The sequence below is a fragment of the Homo sapiens genome, chromosome 1, assembly GCF_000001405.40.
Source record: "Homo sapiens chromosome 1, GRCh38.p14 Primary Assembly".
In the NCBI taxonomy this organism is placed as follows: domain Eukaryota; kingdom Metazoa; phylum Chordata; class Mammalia; order Primates; family Hominidae; genus Homo; species Homo sapiens.
The window spans coordinates 212,167,117-212,187,270 of NC_000001.11; the positions used below are offsets into that span (position 1 = coordinate 212,167,117).

Here is a 20,154-nt window from a genome sequence, read left to right on the forward strand (position 1 = left end):
TGAGTAGGATTTCTGTATGTGAGAGGGAGAAGGAGTGGAATTCCCATGGGAAGCAACCCAATTAAGGATCTAGAGCAAGCCACAAGCACGCGAGAACGGTATGACAGAACCATGGCTGCATCTGCTGCACTGGGGGTGACCTAGGTCAGGGCCGTAGCAGAGTCACGTCTCCAGGCAGCACCAGGCTGTCAGCGCTGTTTGGCAATGCAGCTGTGTGTCAGTTTCCTCCTTCATCCCTCTGTGGATATTCAGACTCCCGCCTCTCAGTGGACAGCCTTGCTGGCTTCAGTGATTAACATCAAGGCTATCAGTCATGAACTTCCTCAACCTCCTGTTTCTGCACCTACAAATTATTGTATTTATACCTACTCACAAATTCTTTCTTCCCCAGTCACAGGAAGAGATGTCCTATTAAAGACTAATTCCCCACACCACATTCATGCTTTCCTTTTTCCTCACAAAAACATCATTACTGCCGGGTGCAGTGGCTCACGCCTGTAATCCCAGCACTTTGGAAGGGCGACACGGGCGGATCACAAGTTCAGGAGATGGAGACCATCCTGGCTAACACGGTGAAACCTCGTCTCTACTAAAAATACAAAAAATTAGTCGGGCGTGGTGGCGGGCGCCTGTAGTCCCAGCTACTCAGGAGGCTGAGGCAGGAGAATGGCGTGAACCCGGGAGGTGGAGCTTGCAGTAAGACGAGATCGCGCCACTGCACTCCAACCTGGGCGACAGAGCAAGACACTGTCTCAAAAAAAAAAAAAAAAAAAAAAAAAAAATCATTACATCAGTTGTCACCCTCGACTCCTTTCAGGATCTTTCCCAAAAACTGTGAATAGGAAGTCTCATCATGAGCACATGAAACATTAATCCTATACCCTGTAGCTATTGCCCAATTCTATGGCTTAAATGGGTCCCTTCCAAAAATCAGGTGTTGTCAATGTGATAGAATTAAGAGGCATGGCCTTTAAGAGATTATTATGCTATGAGGGCTCCTCCTCTTGAATGGGATTAGGTATCCTAATAAAGGGATTCGAAGAGGAAATTGGTTCTCTCTTGCGCTTCTGCTTTCCACGTGAGGATGCAGCAAGAAGGCCCCCAAAAGGAGCCAGCATCTTGATTTTGGACTTCCCAGCCTCTAGCACGGTGAGAAACAAATTTCCTTTCTTTATAAATTACCCAGTCTGTGGTATCCTGTTATAGTAGCACAAAACAGACTAAAAATGCCTTTTCTTTCTCTTTCCTTTAACAGAAAAGCTTATTTTTTGTTAAATACTGTTTCACATTTTTCTCTACTTATAAAAGTAGTATACGTTCATTACAGAATATTTAGAAAACAAAGAAATATTTAGAAACAAAGAAAACTGTACAGAAAAAAAAAAAACCAACTTTGTAACCCTGCCACTCATTTTGGAATCTCTCCACCTGAGGAGACATATATATATATATATATATTTTTTTTTTTTTTTTTCAGATGGAGTCTTGCTCTGTCCCCCAGGCTGGAGTGCAGTGGCATGATCTCGGCTCACTGCAAGCTCCGCCTCCTGGGTTCATGCCATTCTCCTGCCTCAGTCTCACGAGTAACTGGGATTACAGGTGCGTGCCACCACACCCAGCTAATTTTTTTGTATTTTTAGTAGAGACAGGGTTTCACCGTATTAGCCAGGATGGTCTCGATCTCCTGACCTCGTGATCCACCCACCTCAGCCTCCCAAAGTGCTGGGATTACAGGCATAAGCCACAGCGCCCAGCCTCACCTGAGGATATTTTGTTTCTATGTGTATATATCTACATTCAGCATTTAATAGCTAACATTTTACTGAGCACTTTCTGTGTGCCAGGCTAACCACCACCCAGTGAGGGACTTTACCATGGCTGCACATCCTGTCAGTGGCCTAGTCAGGATTTGATCCCAGGGAGTCTGGCTTCAGAGGGTGAGATCTTAATCCTGCTCCTTATGCCTCTAATTTATACCAGAATTGGAATCATATAGTATAGGTAATGTTTTATATCCTGCATTTCACTTAGTGTTATATTCTAAGTATTTCTCAATATCACAAATTATGTTTTGTAAATGTAATTTCTAAGTTAGTATCACACTTTTCAATAGGATAGCTTGTCCTCTTCCATTCAGTTGTCAAACCATTGATTTTTGCCCTCACTTCTCACCACTCAACAGAAACAGATCCCAGAAGGATCATAGGTGACCTCTTCGAGGCTAACTCCATTGGACATGTTATAACCCTTCTCTTTCTTGACTCCTCAGGAATATTTGACACCATTGTACTCTCCTTCTTTCTGTCATCTAGTCAATATTTATTGAGCACCAGCAGAAACTTCCTCCTCTATCCATTTCCAAGACATGCTTTTCTTTGGTTTCCCTTTCTTTCCCTGGCCATGTTTTCTTAGCCTTTAAGTTCCTGGTCCTCAGTCCACACTTGAAGTGTGGGTTCCCCTGAGAGCCCCATGTCGGGGTTTTCACCAGCATTTTTCAGCCCTGACTGTGGCTAGGAATCACTGGAAATAACTGCCTAAAGTATTCAGAGTGGGGAGTGGGCTTCAATATTTTGAAGATGCTTCATGTCTTCCACTCAGTCTTTGCTTTTCCTCCTGTGTTCCCTATGTCAGAGAATAGCATACATCTCCACCCACTTACTTAAGCAAGGAAGCTTGCCTTCTTCCTCTCTCCCAATCAATCACTGTGTCCTGTTGATTCTACCACCTTATTATTTTTAAATGTTTCTACATCTCTCTATCTCCATTGTCATTACCTGCATTCAGCCCATCATCAGTTCTTACCTGGATTACTAAAATGCCCTTGTAGTTGACCCTGCCTCCAATCTTGCCTCACTCCAATCCTTAGGTTGTTGCTGTTTCACACTGAAAACAGCTTTCTTGTTTTTTTTTTCTGATTATGTAAATACTATAAGGTCAATATAAAAATGAAAAGAATCATAAAAATAAGAGGGAGAAAGAAATGATCACCTGAAATCCCACCGCCCTGAGATACCCTCATTCTTCCACTTTTTGGTGATTATCCTTTCATGCACTTTTTATGTTGATCAGTCATATGAGAAAACGGTCTGAACTTTGATCTTCATTGGGATTCAGATATCAGAGAGTGGCGCTGAAGGAGGAACAATTTTAATTAGGGACAAAGAAGGCCTAGAAAGAGGGTATGTATAATCGTAAACAAGTGTCATAATCTAATTGCTGTGGTTTGAATGTGTCCCCCAGATTTCATGTGTTGGAAACTTCATCCCCAATGTGGCAGTACTGAGAGGTTTGGGCCTTAAGGGATGAATGGATCGTGAGGGCAGAGCCATTATTCATGGATGAATGGATGAATGGGTTAGTGGATTAAAGTGTTATCATGGAAGGGGAACTGGTGGCTTTATAAGAAGAGGAAAAGGGGCCTGAGCTAGCATCTTAGCATGCTAAGCTCCCTTGCGATGTGATATCCTGTGCCACCTTAGGACTGTGCAGTCTCCACAAGCTATATCTTCAAAGTCATACAATGACTATAAAAGCACCAGCCATACATCCTTTTCAGGTAAGAAATGGGGAAGACCAGGGGCCAGAAAGAGCTTCACCTAAACTTCATCCAAATACTCCATCCAAAACTTCCACTTAAATTTCATTGGCCATTCCTATCTGCAAGAAGAGACACGTTTGAGCACATTGCTACCCCTAATGATGGAGGTTCTCTTAGTAAGGAAGAAAGAAATAATAGATTTAGGTAGGCAGCTAGCAGGCTGTACCTAAACACACACACAAACGGTTTTAGGGTTTTTGTTTTGCTATTGGTAGATGTCATCATTTTCCGAAAATTGGTTCAGAGTACATCTATACCTTTGCATACAGCTTTCCCCCACTTAATCACATTTCATCGAAATCTCTCCAAGTCCATTAATATAGATCTAACATATATTTAAATGGCTACACAATTCCCCATGTATAAGCACACTGTAATTTATTCATTCATTCCTCTAATGATGGGCTTCACTTGGTTTTCAGTGTTTCGCCAACTACAAACAATGCAGCAATAAGCACCTCTGTACATGCATTTTTTTTGTATTGGTGCTTTTATTTCTATAGAGTAGATTCCCAGCAGTGGGATTGCTAGGTTGAAGGGCAAATGTATTAAAATTGTATAGTCTTTGCCTGATTGCCAAAAGGTTTGTAGCAACTCATACTGCACCCAGCAATATATGAGTACCTATTTCCTTCTCATTCTTACCAATAGTAGATGTTTTCCCTCTTAATTTTTACCAATCTGAAGGGTATAAAGTGATATTACGTTATTACCTTAATTTTCATTTCCCTGATTGATAGTCATATTGAGCATCTTTTAAATCTACTTATTGGCCAGGCATGGTAGCTTATGCCTGTAATCCTCACACTTTGGGAGGCCAGGGAGGGTGGATCGCTTGAGCTCAGGAGTTCAAGACCAGTCTGGGCAACATGACGAAACCCCATCTCTACCAAAAGTACAAAAATTAGCTGGGCATGGTGGCCCACGCCTGTGGTCCCAACTACTTGGGAGGCTGAGGTGGGAGGATCACTGAAGCCCAGGGAAGTGAGGCTGCAGTGAGCCATGATCGTGCCACTGCACTCCAGTCTGGGCAACAGAGGGAGACCTAGTCTCAAATAAATAAATAAATATTGGACACTTAGAATTTCTCTTCTATGAATTACATTTCATTCAAGTCATCTATTTCTACTAGTTTTGTCTTTTCTAATCAATTTCTGAGAGTTTTTGTGTATTATGAATATTAATCATCAATTAATACAGTATAATTAGCATTCTAGCATACTACATAAAAACTTTATTGGCTGTTCTTTGCCTACAGAATAAAGTCCAGGTTTTTTAACAAAATGAAGTATGTTGTCTGGGCAGGAGATGGTGTTCAGATGCCTTTGATAGGGACAGTTAGGCAACTCCTTTCTCCCCATGTGTCCATTTACATACATCGATTTACACAGAGATTAAACAGTATGGTCTATGAGGAAAAGGTCTGAACCTTGTTTTGGTTGGACTTCAGTCATCTGATGGACTGGGGTGGCCCTGAGGGAGGCATGATTAAAGTGGTGGTGGTGTGGGGGGTGCTGAAAAGTAGGCCATCACAGAGCAGAAGGGATCTGGCCCCTTGGATCCAACCCAGCATTTGAGCCAGAATGTCCAAGAGCAGTGTCATTCTGGGTTCGCTGTGGAAGCCAATACTGGAACTTGTCTCACCTAGATGCTTTGGCAGCCTGTGTGGGTCCTGAGAGAAAATGGGTGTCTTAGTGTGTTTGGGCTGCTGTTATAAAAAATACCACAGACTGGGTAATTTATAAACAATATACTTTATAAACAATAGACATTTATTTCTTACAGACTGGGTAATTTACCACAGACTGGGTAATTTATAAAACTGGGTAATTTATAAACAATAGACATTTATTTCTTCCAGTCTAGAGGCTAGGAAGTCCAAGGGCAAGATGCCAGCAGATTTAGAGAGCTTGCTCTTTGCTTCCAAGATGTCACCTTCTTGCTGTGTGTTCACAAAGCAGAACGTACAAATGCTATGTTCTCACATGATGGAAAGGCAAACAGGGCCAGGTAGCTCTCTGAAGCCTCTTTTGTGTATGTATGTATGTATTTATTTATTTATTTTTAACACTGTCTCACTCTGTCACCCAGGCTGGAGTGCAATGGCACGATCTTGGTTCACTGCAACCTCTGTCTCACAGGTTCAAGCGATTTTTGTGCCTCAGCCTCTCAAGTAGCTGGGATTACAGGCGCCCACCAACACGCCCGGCTAATTTTTGTAACTTTAGTGGTGACGGGGTTTCACCATGTTGGCCAGGCTGGTCTCAAACTCCTGACCTCAGGTGATCCACCTGCCTTGGCCTCCCAAAGTGCTAGGATTACAGGCGTGAGCCGCCTCGCCCAGCCTGAAGCCTCTTTTATAAGGACATTAGTGTCATTCGCAAGGGCAGAGCCCTCATAACTCAATCACTTCCCGAAAGGCCCCACCTCTTAATACTCTTGCATTGAGGATTAAGTTTCAACATGGATTTTGGAGAGACACAAACATTCCAACCATTGCAGGGGCTTGTGTGGAGGTTTAAAGAGCTGTTACTTTGGAGCCAAGCAGGCTTGCCATGGAACCCTTAATTGACCTGTAGCCAATCAGAGCATTTTCCTTCACACTTGACTAGAGCAGTGGCAATAAAGTCTGGTCTTCAGATGCAGGAGCGATGCTCCAGTTTCAACATTATGAACCTAATTGTCTAGGTATTCATGCCAATAACAGGAAAAATGTTCCAACCTTGTGTTGGTACCCTGTTAAATCATTAAGACTTGGAACTGCAGAATTGCAGCCTGGCTAGACATGGTAGCAAGTGGTAATCTAGGTGGGTTCATGAAAACATAAAAGTACTCCACAAAGAGTCCCCTAAGTATTTGGTAGAAAAGACTCTGAAAATAACTTTGATTTCCTGCATGGATCTTGACTTCTTTTAGTTAAGCCAGTGAGACTCAAGAGTTTGTGAGAGCTGGGTATTGACGCTAATGGGATCACCACTATACACACTGATGAAGGCCAAAACCAGCAGCTTCCATTCTCACTGTGAACATAATGGACCTTGCTCACCTCTCCAGCCTTATCTCCTGCAATTTTCTCTGTTCTGAATATGTTGAGCCAGTAATAAATTCCTCCAGCCAGTAATACATTTTTTGTCTACTGTAACTTTGCGTATGCTATTCTGTCTTCCCGAAACACTCAATCTCTCAGCTGCATTATTTATTGGCTAACTCTTTTGAGTCACTGCCTAATTCAGGAAGTCCTCCTTGATTCCTCCAGTTGGGGCTTCAGGTCTCTCCTAAAGTTCCCATCACATTCCTTGTGCCCCCAAATGCCACCCCTTCTATCAGACTGTGCACTAGTTTCCTCAGCACTGAGTGCAGTGTTTGACACGTAACAAACACTCAATCATGTTTTTTGTTATTGTTGCTGTTTGTTTTTTGTTTTGTTTTGTTTGAGACAGAGTCTCGCTCTGTCGCCCAGGCTGGAGTACAGTGGCGCGATCTCGCCTCACTGCAAGCTCCGCCTCCCGGGTTCACGCCATTCTCCTGCCTCAGCCTCCTGAGTAGCTGGGACTACAGGCGCCCGCCGCCACACCTGGCTAATTTTTTGTAGAGACGGGGTTTCACTGTGTTAGCCAGGATGGTCTGGATCTCCTAACCTCGTAATCCACCCACTTCAGCCTCCCAAAGTGCTGGGATTACAGGCGTCAGCCACCACGCCTGGCCTCAATCATGTTTAATAAAAAAAAAAAAGTGTTTGCCAGAGAACCCATATAGGAGAGAAACCTTATGAGTGCAATAAATGTGGGAAAGCTTTTACTGATAAGTCATGCCTTAACAAACATCAGGGCGGGTGCGGTGGCTCACGCCTGTAATCCCAGAACTTTGGGAGGCTGAGGCAGGCGGATCACTTGAGGTCAGGAGTTCAAAACCAGCGTGGCCAACATGGTGAAACCCCATCTCTACTAAAAATGCAAAAAATTAGCTTGGTGTGGTGGTGCACGCCTGTAATCCCAGGTACTCGGGAGGCTGAGGCAGGAGAATTGCTTGAACCCCGGGGGGCAGAGGTTGCAGTGAGCCAAGATTGTGCCATTGCACTCCAGCCTGGGCGGCAGAGTGAGACTCTGTCTCAAAAAAAATCAAAGAATACACACACACAGTGTTTGCATGTGCTCAACACTGTGCTCGTGTTTTCTAAGAGAAATAAATAACATATTCCCTGACCTCAAGTAACTGATAATCCAGCTAGGGATGCAGGGTTTTTTGGGTTGTTGTTTGTTGTTTCCTCCTAACAAACTACTGCATAATTATACAGATATAAAATGAAACATTCAGTGTACATAATATACCTGTAAGGACGATGAGAGTTGAGAGATGGGGACATAATAGAGCCATATGCATCCACGAAAGAGAGAATATTCTGTTAGTGGATATTTCTATAGAGTTCAAAAATAACCGCCAAACATATCAAATATTGAATATGTGAAACCCTCTGTGCCAGTCACAGAAACCTTAAACTAAAAAGAGGGGAAATTGCTGGCTTTAAGGGCTTATGATTTAGTCAGGACCACTTCAGATTCTGTTTGGAAGTAGACAGGGCATACACACTTAACAAACAGGTAACAAAGAACGAGTACCACAGCTGGAGTGACAGGGCAGGGTGGCCACATAAAAACAAAGCAAATCAGTTTCACTCATTAAAATAGAAAATATTAAAATAAAGATAATATGCAGCCTTCTTAGCTGGGGGTGCTGAAATATTACTATTATACACTATTAGTGGGAGGGTAAATTGGTGCATATTTCCTTAAAGGCAAATTATATATCTTATATCAAGACTTTCAGAAATGTTCTGACTCTGACCCAGTAGTTCTATTCTAGTAATTTATATTAAGGAAATAATCAGAGACATGGACACTTACGTACAAGAATATTAATAGCAGTGTTATTCTTTTTTTTTTTTTTTTTTTTTTGAGACAGAGTCTCGCCGTGTCTCCCTGGCTAGAGTGCAGTGGCACAATCTCGGCTCACTGCAAGCTCCACCTCCTGGGTTCATGCCATTCTCCTGCCTCAGCCTCCCAAGTAGCTGGGACTACAGGCACCCGCCACCACGCCTGGCTTTTTTTTTTTTTTTTTTTTTTTGCATTTTTAGTAGAGACGGGGTTTCTCCGTGTTAGCCAGGATGGTCTCGATCTCCTGACCTCGTGATCTGCCCACTTCGGCCTCCCAAAGTGCTGGGATTACAGGCATGAGACACCGCACCTGGCCAGCAGTATTATTCTTAATGGAGAACAAAATAAAAACAGTCAAAATGTTGAACAATAGAGAATCGGTAAATAACTTATGATTCACCAGTATAATGGATATTATGCAGCCATTAAAATCTATGTTTTTCTGATAATTTTAGCATTATGGGAAATTTTTCATGTCATAAAACTGAGTGAAAAAATATAAAAAACTATGGACAGATTATCTACATTTTATGACTGCAAACCCCTAGATATTATCAGTGGTGGAATTATAAGCAGTTCTTTTTTTCTTCCTTATCATTTTCTTTATTTTCTAAATTTCCTACAAGTATGTATAATTTTATCTTTAGAAAACGTTTTTGTTTTGTTTTGTTTTTGAAATGGAATCTGCTCTATCGCCCAGACTGGGGAGCAGTGGCCCAATCTCAGCTTACTGCAACCTCCACTTCTTGCATTCAAATGATTCTCCTGCTTCAGCCTCCCAAGTAGCTGGGATTACAGGCGCCCACCCCCATGGCCTGGCAATTTTAGTATTTTTAGTAGAGACAGGGTTTCACCATGTTGGCCAGGCTGGTCTTGAACTGCTGACCTCAGGTGATCTGCCCGCCTCGGCCTCCTAAACTGCTGTGATTATAGGCATGAGCCACGGTGCCTGGCCAGAAAAGGTTTTAATTTTTAATGCAAATAAATTGATAGGACAAGGTAGTTTATGCTCAAAGCATAAACTTTGCTCAAAGCAAGACAAAGAAGTGACAGTAAACTCACATTAATGCAGAATGATTGGGAATTGCACCCCTCTTTTGTTTTCATGCTGTATGGCTATAGCCTTCTTCTCTACAATCTCTGCAGTTTTTGACAGGGAGGTGCATAAGAGAGAATTGGAGAATGACACTACCATTTCTTTTTTGTTGTATTCAAGTGTTTCATGCAAAGTTTGTGGGTGGAGCAACTTGGAGGACACAGTGGTCACATCCTATTACCTATATCCCATGAATCTTTTCTTTCCTTGGTTATCCTAAAATAATGCTTGATGAAGAAAAGGCAGGGAACAGCAAAGGAGTGCTGGCTATAGCATCACGAGCCCTGAGAGGGTTTGCCAGGCAAGCAGAAAAAGCCCTTTTCACCATCAAGTGGTGATCATCCTCATGGTCCTGAGTCCTTAGTGACCATTCAGGAACATCTGGCCTGCCCCAGGCACAATAAGGTTAACAGTGTCTCAGTCCCTTTAACCTGGTGGAGGGATGAGACTGAGATAAGGATTGAATGATGAAAGAAAAAGCAGGCGGGCTAGGCACAGAGGTTCCCGCCTATAATCCCAGCACTTTGGGAGGCCGAGGTGGGCGGATCACCTGAGGTCAAGAGTTCAAGACCAGCCTGACCAACATGGTGAAACCTTGTCTCTACTAAAAATACAAAAATTAGCTGAGTGTGGTGGTGCACGCTTGTAGTCCCAGCTACTTGGGAGGCTGAGGTGGGAGAATTGCTTGAACCCGGGAGGTGGATGTTGCAGTGAGCCAAAATCACACCACTGCACTCTAGCCTGGGTGACAGAGTGAGACTCTGTCTCAAAAAAAAAAGAAAAGAAAAGAAAAAGCAGGTGCACATGTCTGCCAAAATATGGATAAGACTGCCTAGGAAATCAACCCAGTTAATATGTATGCTTCAAGCAGATGATCGATGAACATCTGACATGCAAAAACTAGCTTCCATTTGTGTCACATTCCCCCTAGTTCATCAAGGGATTTTACATTTATGATTTTATTTGATCCTAACCACAACCCTTTGAGAGAGGCCCCAGTCTTCCCATTTTACAGATGAGATCATCAAGGCTCAATAAGATCAAAGGTTTTGCCCAAGGTCTCTCTCAGTTAATAGCAGCTGGAGCAGAAACCCAGACTTCTGGTTCCTCCGATTCTTTCTTGTTTGACACATTTAAGCCCTGACAGAAATATTCTCATACAAGAATAGTCACAAATAATACTGAAATGTGAAAAGAAAAATGAAAATCTGTCTATCTACTGGAAGTTTTATTCATGTGCTCTTAGCTACTATTTCTCCTTTTGAAATTTCATTTCTCAGCTCTTATCATGAATGCCAAGAAGAAACACAACAGACAGGCCCAAGGCACTACCTCTGGGCCTTAGTCAGATTTCATTCTCAACCCAACCCTGTGAAGTGAGTGACCGTCCCCATTTTATAACTAAGGACCCTGCAGGATCAGAGAGATCAAGCAACTTACTCAAGGAGATGTGACTAGTAAGTGGCCCGGGCAGGACTTGTACTGGATCCTTTTGGCCACAGAACTCAGGCACTTTCCAAGGTACTACAAAGCCTCCTCAGGCAGGAGGTGCTCAATAAACATCCTTGGCTTGCTCTAATCCATCAAAGGAGATTTGACCAACTTGGATGTTTAAGAGCCGTACCACCAGAGCAGATCAGGTTAGTACACACAGAGATGCATTTGCAGGTCATGCGTCAGACAGAAGACAGCTCACCTTCATCAGTCAAGCAGATTTGAACTCCCCCTTTCTAGAAAACCTTCCTGCTTGCTGGAATCTGCTTAGCTTTAGAACACTCTAGTTACCTCTCCCCTTTCCTAGCTTACCCTCCAAATGATCTTCCCTTGAGACATTTACTGAGCAGTCACAAAAGTATCTTCAGTCCATCCACATGACAATTGCTTAGGTGTTTGCAGGAGAGGAACCCATCTCAGGTTTTTGATCCACAGGAGGCAGGGTCCTGAGATGCCTCAGTCACTGCAGACAAGGCCCAAAGAAGCCCCGAATCCTCTGCACCCACCTCCCTCTCACCAAAAACCCTTTTCGGGGGAAGAGTGGAATCATCTTACACGAGAAGAACTTAATATCTCAAATGAAACAACAGCCAAGTTTCTCTTCTCCAGGAGAAAAGAGATTTCCAGACTCTGAGTTAAAAAAAAAAAAAAGAAGTCATTTTTTGGAGTTTCCTCTTTCCAATCTCTTTTACAACAGCTCTCTGAACTTTCAACTAGACTCACTGTCTTTTCTCATACTCACGCCCTTCATCCCATGTCCAGCCTCACTGTCTTCCTGTCTTCAGCTCTACTATTGGTGGTCTGGGCCCTGGCTGAGCACCACAACCTATACAGATCATGCTCAAGGCAGGAAGTCAAGGCTTCACTCTGTCACTACATTTCTTGCTGCTTAGCATTTGTGTATTTTCGACATATGTTTTTCCAGTCTCCCATTAAATTAGAATCACAGAATGTTAGGAATGGAAAGAACTTAAGAGCCCTTTAGTTCATGGAGCAGCTCCACAGCCTGTTCCCAAACACCTCTAGGGGCTTTGGCATTTGACCCAGAACTCCCCTCACATTACAGCAGCAGTTCCCAGCGGGTAGGAGCTTTCCCTTGTACTTCTGCCTCATTGCCTCCACAACTGACGCAAGGATCTCCAAAATCAGGGTTCAGTGTTGTTGACAAGGGGAGCAGAATTTTCTAGCTCCAAGCACCCTCAAAGGTCCTCTTTGTTTTGCCAACAGTCCTGCAGGTACAGGCATAGCTGCTTTGCCCCACTTTGGTGGTGCTGAGGAATGGCAGGCATGACTACTCTAAGGCTGAGGTCAAGCCACCCATCCTGCCTCTGATCCCTGTCCCCCATGCCACCACCCCAGCCTGGTGCCCTCTCTACCCTAGACTAAGCTGTCTCTATTCTGTGAGCATGAGAGGAGGAACTGTAGTATAGGATAGTGTAGTGTAAAGACTCTTCTATATCCCTTCCTGGGCAAGTCTTGCCCCCACATGTTCCAGCCTGGGAATCTCAGCACGGCATTTGTGTTCACTGCTGGCTTGGGTTGGGAACCGTAATCACACCCTGATGAGGATTAATAAGCTTCCTGGGCCTGTTGGGTGACTGTGCCTCAGAAACTGTCCAATCCAGAGCTGGGTCTATCCCCATAGCACAGCATGCTTTGCTATGAGTCAGAGCTTTGCAAATGCTGAAATTACCACCACCATGTTCCTAGGGATGACACATACTCCCAAATGCCATCACTATATATTTTCTTCCACAGTAAGCCTTATAGCTGGTCTGCAGGTTGGCTTAAATTTTGGTTAAGTTTCTTTTTGTCTCAGTTCTCAATTATTCCTGCTAGGGGAAGCAGTGGTCATTTGGATAATCCAAAAGGATGGATTATCTAAAAATAATTTGAATTTATCTCTGGAATGTGTTAGGTGATTTATTTGTTTTAAGCACAGCAGTTACCTTTCTAATGATACTTAATCAGGGTAATGTGAAAGAAATAGCATTCCATCACCACAGATGAGTTAGATAGGCAGTTCTGGAGGTTGGGGAGAGAGGAGCAAGTGAGGCAGGGTTACGAAACAACGTGGTCAACATCCACACTGGCCAGAGATACCCACACTCAGTCCCTACATGTATAGAGGATTACACAGGCTCTGTGATTTTGCTCCCAGGGGTACATTCACACATCTTGCCATCTTCCCATTGGCTAGAGAGGTCTTCCATCCTGAGAATGAGAGAGGGCAAATCAGGCGGACAATGAAGTGCCTTCTGTGTCCAGAAAGTTGAGAGTGGTCCTTAAAGTAAAAAAAGGGTGGAATTTAATGTTCCTTTTCCAACAAGTATGGGAAGTCCCCCTTGAGAGATAGTGTAGGTTTTTGGGAGCCCATGGATGGCCAGCTCCCTGTTGCCCTCGCTAGGATCTTAGAACTCCTTTCTCTGGGTATCAGGACACAAGAAGACTCCAGTGAGCAGAGAATGGGACAGCGACAGTGTGAAATATATAGATTTTAGACCAGAAGAAAAGGATTGCCTCTTGTTGGCTATGGGATCTTGGGCAAATTTCTGAATTGCTCTGACCCTTACTGCACCCGTCTGAAAAAACGTAAACAACAACAACAGTAAGAGTAGCTACCATACAGATGAGTGGTTGCTATGATCTGAATGTTTATGTCCCCGCAAAATTCCTATGTTGAAATTCTAACCCCTAAGGTGATGATATTAGGAGGTAGAACGTTTGGGGAGGTGATTGGGTCATGAGAACAGCACCCTTATGAATACAATCAGTGCCCTTACACAATAGGTCCAAGGGAGCTTGTTCATCCCAACCACCATGTGAGGGTACAAGTAGAAAGTGCCATTTATGAACCAGAAAGCAGTCACCAGACACTGAGTCTGCCAGTGTCTTGATCTTGGACTTCTCAGACTTCAGAACAGTGAGAAATACATTTCTGCTATTTATAAGCTAACCAGCCTCTGGTATTTTGTTATATCAGCACAAATGGACTAAGATAGTGGCAGCTAAATAATATTTGTGAAAGTATTTTGGAAGCTCTAATGTCCTGTTCAATTGTTAGTTATTACCATAACCTGTGACTGGCCCTATAAAACCCAATCACAGTCCTGAAAATGGAACTCAAAGGGCACGCCCTCCCTAAGGTGAAGGCAGCGTTTGAAGGACTGTATGTTCTCAGCACCTAAGGGGTATATTCAGGTGTGTACTTAATCATTTCTATTCTGATTCTGACGAAGATAAAGATAGCACAAGAACCCAGAGGAAGACTGACTGCCTACCTGCATGGAGTCCTTTCTCATTTTCTTAACATTTGGTTGAATTTGTTAATGATTCTAGATCACAGCCTCTTCAGATATTGGCCTCTTCAGAAATGCTTGGCAGTGGAATTGCCATCTACCTTGAATGCCAGGTTGGAATCTGCCCAGACTCTCAATAAGAGAGCACTTCCAAACACTCTGCCCAGGCTCCCTTATCTAAGATCCTCTCTTCAAAAAGTGGGTAGAAGGTGGGGAGATGGGGGAGGCAGGGAGTGGGGAAGGGTAGTGGTGGGGCGTTTGCCACTGCTGAACTTCAACTTTCCCGCTTGACTATCTTCTTCTCCCACAGAGAAGAAAGAAAGAATTGCGACTGAAGTTTCAAGATACCCTAAGTTTTCCTTCTCTAGTCTGTAGCCTCCTTCTTGTCTCTCAGTTTGCCCCCTTCTTTCTTTTCACCATTGCTCACACCCTTGGCTTTCCTGTTTCTGTTTTTTTTTTTTTTTTTTTTTTTTTTTGTCCTTAGATCTTAAACCACCGGGCCTCTGGATCAAATGGCAGACTCCTTTAGAGGAAAATGGGATATTTGTTCTGGGACCAGAGAGGTAACCTGCAGGCTCTAATAGTTGCTGAGGAAAAGGAGCAACATGTTCACCTGGATGATTCCAAATGGCCTACTCTGGTTTAAGGTTAGGTATGGTTATTCCAAAAGTCTTCACAGACTTCTGTTCCTAACCCATTCAAACCCAAAAGAACTCTAATTCTACATGTAGCCATCAGCTATGTCTTAGTCTATTGGGCTGTTATAACGAACTGTCATAGTCCGAGTGGCTTATAAATAACAGAAATTTATTTCTCACCCTTCTGGGAAGTCCAAGATCACGACATGTGGGAGAATCAGTGTCTGGTGAGGGCCTGCTTCCTGGTTCATAGATGGCCATGCTTACATGGCAGAGGGCCAAGGGATCTCTCAGGGTCTCTCTTCTAAGGGCACTAATCCCATCAGTGAGGTCGCTACCATCATGACCTAATAATCTCCCAAAGACCCCACCTCCTAATACTATCACACTGGGGATTAGGTTTCACCATATGAATGTTCTGGGGGACACAAACATTCAGACCGTATCAAGCTGCAGTTAGTTCTTTACCTCAGGATCTTTAATTATCCTTCAATTACCCATCTGCCACCTCCCACACCTTCAACTGCTTCCTACTTTTCATTGTGATTAAGTTTCAAATTGTCTCCAGTGGACATAGTATTTCTAAAAATAGAATTCTTAAGCAATAAGGATGTAGTAAATCAGGAATCTTCAGAAGGTGCATATTCTGTCTGAGGTCAGGTTCTCTAGAGGCAGAGTCTAATGCAGGGATCATTGTGCAGGTGACTTTGAGGAGGAGTGCTCTAGAAGAAACCTGAAAGGTTTCTACGGCTTTAACACTCATCTTAAATAACTGTCCTAGTCACCCTCTAACACTCGCCCTATCTTTTTTTTTTTTTGTCCGAATCTTGCTCTGTTGCCCAGGCTGGAGTGCAATGGCACGATCTTGGCTCACTGTAACCTCCAGCTCCCGGGTTCAAGCAATTCTCCTGCCCCAGCCTGGGGCTTAGCTGGGATTACAGGGGTGCACCACTACGCTCGGCTAATTTTTGTATTTTTAGTAGAGACAGGGTTTCACCATGTTGGTCAGGCTGATCTCGAACTCCTGGCCTCGTGATCCACCTGCCTCAGCCTCCCAAAGTGCTGGGATGATAGGCGTGGGCCACCACGCCCGGCCCACTCACCCTATCTTATAGCACTTATCGCTGTAAGGTTTGCTCATTTATCTGTTTACTTACCTTTTTCCCATCTTCCTGCTACTAGAGTAAAAGCTCCATGACAGTGTGAGCTTACCTGGGTTTTTGTTTTGTTTTGTTTTGTTTTTATTTGGGTTTGTCCTTGTTGTTGTTTTACTGCTTTATCCAGTGCCTGGAGCATAGAAGACACTCAGTAGATAGTTGTTTAATAAGATAATGAATGAGTACATAGTTTAAAATAATGTCTACTACAACTGTGTAATACAATGGAAAAATAACCAAAATCTACACTTAAGTGAAAAGATCATGATGTAAAATGTCATGTGTTACATAATTAGATCTGTGTTGAGAGAACTTCTGTTCCTCGCCACGATGAAATAATAGACTCCAGGGATTTACTTTTTTTTTTTTTTTTTGAGATGGATGAAGTTTCTCTCTTGTTGCCCAGGCTGGAGTACGATGGCTCCATCTCGGCTCACTGCAACCTCTGCCTCCTAGGTTCAAGCAATTCTCCCGCCTCAGCCTCCCTAGTAACTGGGATTACAGGTGCTCACCACCACGCCCAGCTAATTTTTTGTATTTTTAGTAGAGACGAGGTTTCACCATGTTGGCCAGGCTGGTCTCAAACTCCTGACCTCAGGTGATCCACCCGCCTTGGCCTCCCAAAGTATTGGGATTACAGGCGTGAACCACAGCACCCAGCCAGGGATTCACTTTCTTACCTGAAACTACTAAAAATCTGAACAAACTATACGACACAACAGTTTCAGGATTTGGTTAGTTAGCACAGGATTGTGTCCCTGAAAGAAGGGAGGGGAAAACCAAGGTCAGTCCTATGATTGCTTCAGTTTAACTGGCTACAGGCAGTTTCCTGGCTGCAGTGTGGGGAAGAGGAACCCAAGCACAGCCTCGTGCTCTCACTGAGTTGAGAGACTGAAGTTTAGGAATGCTGAGATGGCGAGAATTTGAGAGGCAACATATCAGGGAGGAGGAACCTGCCCTGCAAGAGAGCTCCAGAGATCTGCAGGTTGATAATTTGACTGGGTACTGATCTGTGCATGTAGGAGAGAAAACAACATGAAACTGCGTAAAACAAACATACATGCAATAGAAAGCAAGGACATCGGGCCGGGCGCGGTGGCTCACACCTGTAATCCCAGCACTTTGGGAGGCGAAGTGGGCAGATCACGAGATCAGGAGTTTGAGACAAGCCTGGCCGATATGGTGAAACCTCGTCTCTACTAAAAATACAAAAATTAGCCAGGCGTGTTGCCATGCGCCTGTAGTCCCAGCTACTCAGGAGGCTGAGGCAGGAGAATCGCTTGAACCTGGGAGGCGGAGGTTGTAGTGCGCCGAGATCGCGCCACTGACTCCAGCCTGGGCGACAGTGACTCCGTCTCAGAAAAAAAAAAGAAAGAAAGAAAGAAAGCAAGAACACCCCAAATTCCTGAAGGTCACGGAATTCAGTTCCCATTAGGCAGAGTGGAAAGACCTCATCACACACAGAGCATTAAGTAGAGTCCACAGAAGGGTATGGTCATGGTGGTGGGGCTAAATAAGCCCTAGACTACCTGTTGCTCTGGACCCACCCTAACAAAGCTTAAAAGCAAGCCTTGAAGGGATCAGATTAAATCTAAGTAACTTAACTGAACAAAGTAGAGCATTATTTAAAGGATTACAACAAAATCTAGTATCCAACAAGGTAAAATTCACAATATCCAGCGACCAGTCGAAGCTTGCCAAGCATGCATCACAATAGGAAAATAGTACCCATAACTAGGAGAAAAGTCAGTCAGTAAAAACAGACCCAGAAGTGGCAGAGATGATGAAATTAGCAGATAAGAACCTTAAAAACAACTACTATAAGCATGCTTCACATGCTGAGGAAGATAGAAAACCTGAGCCAGGTGTGGTGGCTCACGACTGTAATCCCAGCACTTTGGGAGGCAGAGGCGGGTGGATCACTTGAGGTCAGGAGGCAGAGGCGGGTGGATCACTTGAGGTCGGGAGGCAGAGGCGGGTGGATCACTTGAGGTCAGGAGGCAGAGGCGGGTGGATCACTTGAGGTCAGGAGGCAGAGGCGGGTGGATCACTTGAAGCCAGGAGTTCGGGACCAGACTGGCCAATACAGTGAAGTCCCGACTCTATTAAAAATACAAAAATTAGCTGGGCGTGGTGGCATGCACCTGTAATCCCAGCTACTTGGAAGGCCGAGGCATGAGAATTGCTTGAACCCCGGAGGCGGAGGTTGCAGTGAGCTGAGACACCACCACTGCACTCCAGCCTGAGCGATAGAGACTCTGTCTCAAAAAAGAAAATAAAAATAGATAGAAAACATGAACACAATGAAAGGATAAACTGAAGATACAAAAAAGATCCAAACGAAACTCCTAGAGATGAAAAATACATTTGAAATGGAAAGTATACTGCATGGGATTAAGAACAAATTGGACGATGCAAAAGAAAAGATCAATAAATTGAAAACATAGCAATAGAAACTGTCTAGAGAAAAACAACTAAAGAAACAAAAAATAAAGAGAGAGAGGTAAAGAGAGTGAGCTTCAGTTACCTGAGAGACAATATTAAGCAGTTTAACATGGAATTTAAGTCCCAGAAGAGGGGAATAAGAAATTTTTTTTGAAAAAATAATGGCTGAAAATTTCCCCAAATTGATGAAAACCATAAACTCACGCATACAAGAAGCTCAATAATCTCCAAGCAGAGTAAATATAAAGAAAACTGGCCAGGCACAGTGTCTCACACCTGTAATCTCAGCACTTTAGGAGGCTGAGGCAAGAGGATCGCTTGAGCCCAGGAGTTTGAGACCAGCCTCAGCAACATAGTGAGACCTTGCCTTTATTTAAAAAAAAAAAAAAAAATGAAGGCATGGTGGCACACACCTGTGGTCCCAGCTACTGGAAAGGCTGAGGTAGGAGGATTGCTTGGGCCCAGGAGGCAGAGGTTGCAGTGAACCGAGATTGTGCTACTCTAGTCTGGGTGACAGAGTGAGACTCTGTCTCAAAATAAAATAAAAAATCAACCTTGGACCTTCGTTTGTCACCCAGAAATTCAGTCAACGGGTCAGTCCATCAGACCAATAGCAGTAGTGAGCACCACTTGCATAGAGAAAAAAGCCAGCCCGCCAGGATAAAATAGGAGGGTCCCGAGGCCTTAACTGTGCAGAAGTGCTTCCCACACAAAGGTTTCCTCACCTGTCAGTGTCTACCCCAACAAGCACCAGAGAACCATCATGAAAATGTACAGTGAATGTGAGGGAGGGCCAATCACATTAACATTAAATGTGAGGGAGGGCCAATCACATTAACATTAAATGTGAGGGAGGGCCAATCACATTAACATTAGCAGGACTGTACCTTGAAACCGTTAACCCTGGGAGAAAGAATGGTTGAACAGTAAGCTTTCTGCATTGTTGAGATGAAGCCAGCAACAGTAGGCAAGAAGGTCGTAGCAGGAAGAAGGAAGTATTCTCTGGAGACCAACTCTCCTGTTTCAGTTTCGTCCCTGGGGCTAGTCCTGCTGAGTCCTGTAAGGTAGTAGTGTGGTGGTTCTTAATCTTTTTTTTTTCTTTTCGTGTTGGAGGCACATCTTTGACTATTAGAATTTGGTGTAGCAGATTTGAAAAAATATGTATTGTAAAACTGAAAATGATACCAAAGTAAGCAGTAATTTCACCTGCAGTCATTGCCAAAATATTAAGTTCTCACAGCATTTACAGCACTCATAGAGGCAGCACCAGTTTTCGGTCCTTCTATAATACATCACCATCTAGAAACGGCCTGTTTATAGACCCCTAAAGCCATCTCTTACATACTCTAGAGACAAAGTTCTCATGTGTTCCAGTCAACACAGGAGTTTTTTTGTTGATTTGTTTAGGGTGGGGGTGGTGGGTGCTGGCTCCATGTCATATTATTTCCTCCTCTATCTAGAAGAAAGTTTACGTCGCTCTCTGTACCCATAATGTG

The 20,154-nt window shown here is 43.7% G+C and overlaps 4 annotated features.

The window, feature by feature from the left end:
- Nucleotides 6,967-7,218: a silencer, noted in NCBI's record as "fragment chr1:212347425-212347676 (GRCh37/hg19 assembly coordinates)". NCBI's record gives its function as "represses an EF-1alpha promoter that drives an FKBP-Casp9 reporter gene in an ReSE screen in K562 erythroleukemia cells {active_cell/tissue: K562}" and the evidence as "EXISTENCE:reporter gene assay evidence [ECO:0000049][PMID:32094911]".
- Nucleotides 19,491-19,785: an enhancer, noted in NCBI's record as "tiled region #12199; K562 Activating DNase matched - State 5:Enh". NCBI's record gives its function as "activates a minimal TATA promoter and a strong SV40 promoter by Sharpr-MPRA in K562 cells {active_cell/tissue: K562}" and the evidence as "EXISTENCE:reporter gene assay evidence [ECO:0000049][PMID:27701403]".
- Nucleotides 19,736-19,785: an enhancer, noted in NCBI's record as "active region_2499". NCBI's record gives its function as "activates an Ori minimal core promoter by ATAC-STARR-seq in GM12878 lymphoblastoid cells {active_cell/tissue: GM12878}" and the evidence as "EXISTENCE:reporter gene assay evidence [ECO:0000049][PMID:35858748]".
- Nucleotides 19,836-19,895: an enhancer, noted in NCBI's record as "active region_2500". NCBI's record gives its function as "activates an Ori minimal core promoter by ATAC-STARR-seq in GM12878 lymphoblastoid cells {active_cell/tissue: GM12878}" and the evidence as "EXISTENCE:reporter gene assay evidence [ECO:0000049][PMID:35858748]".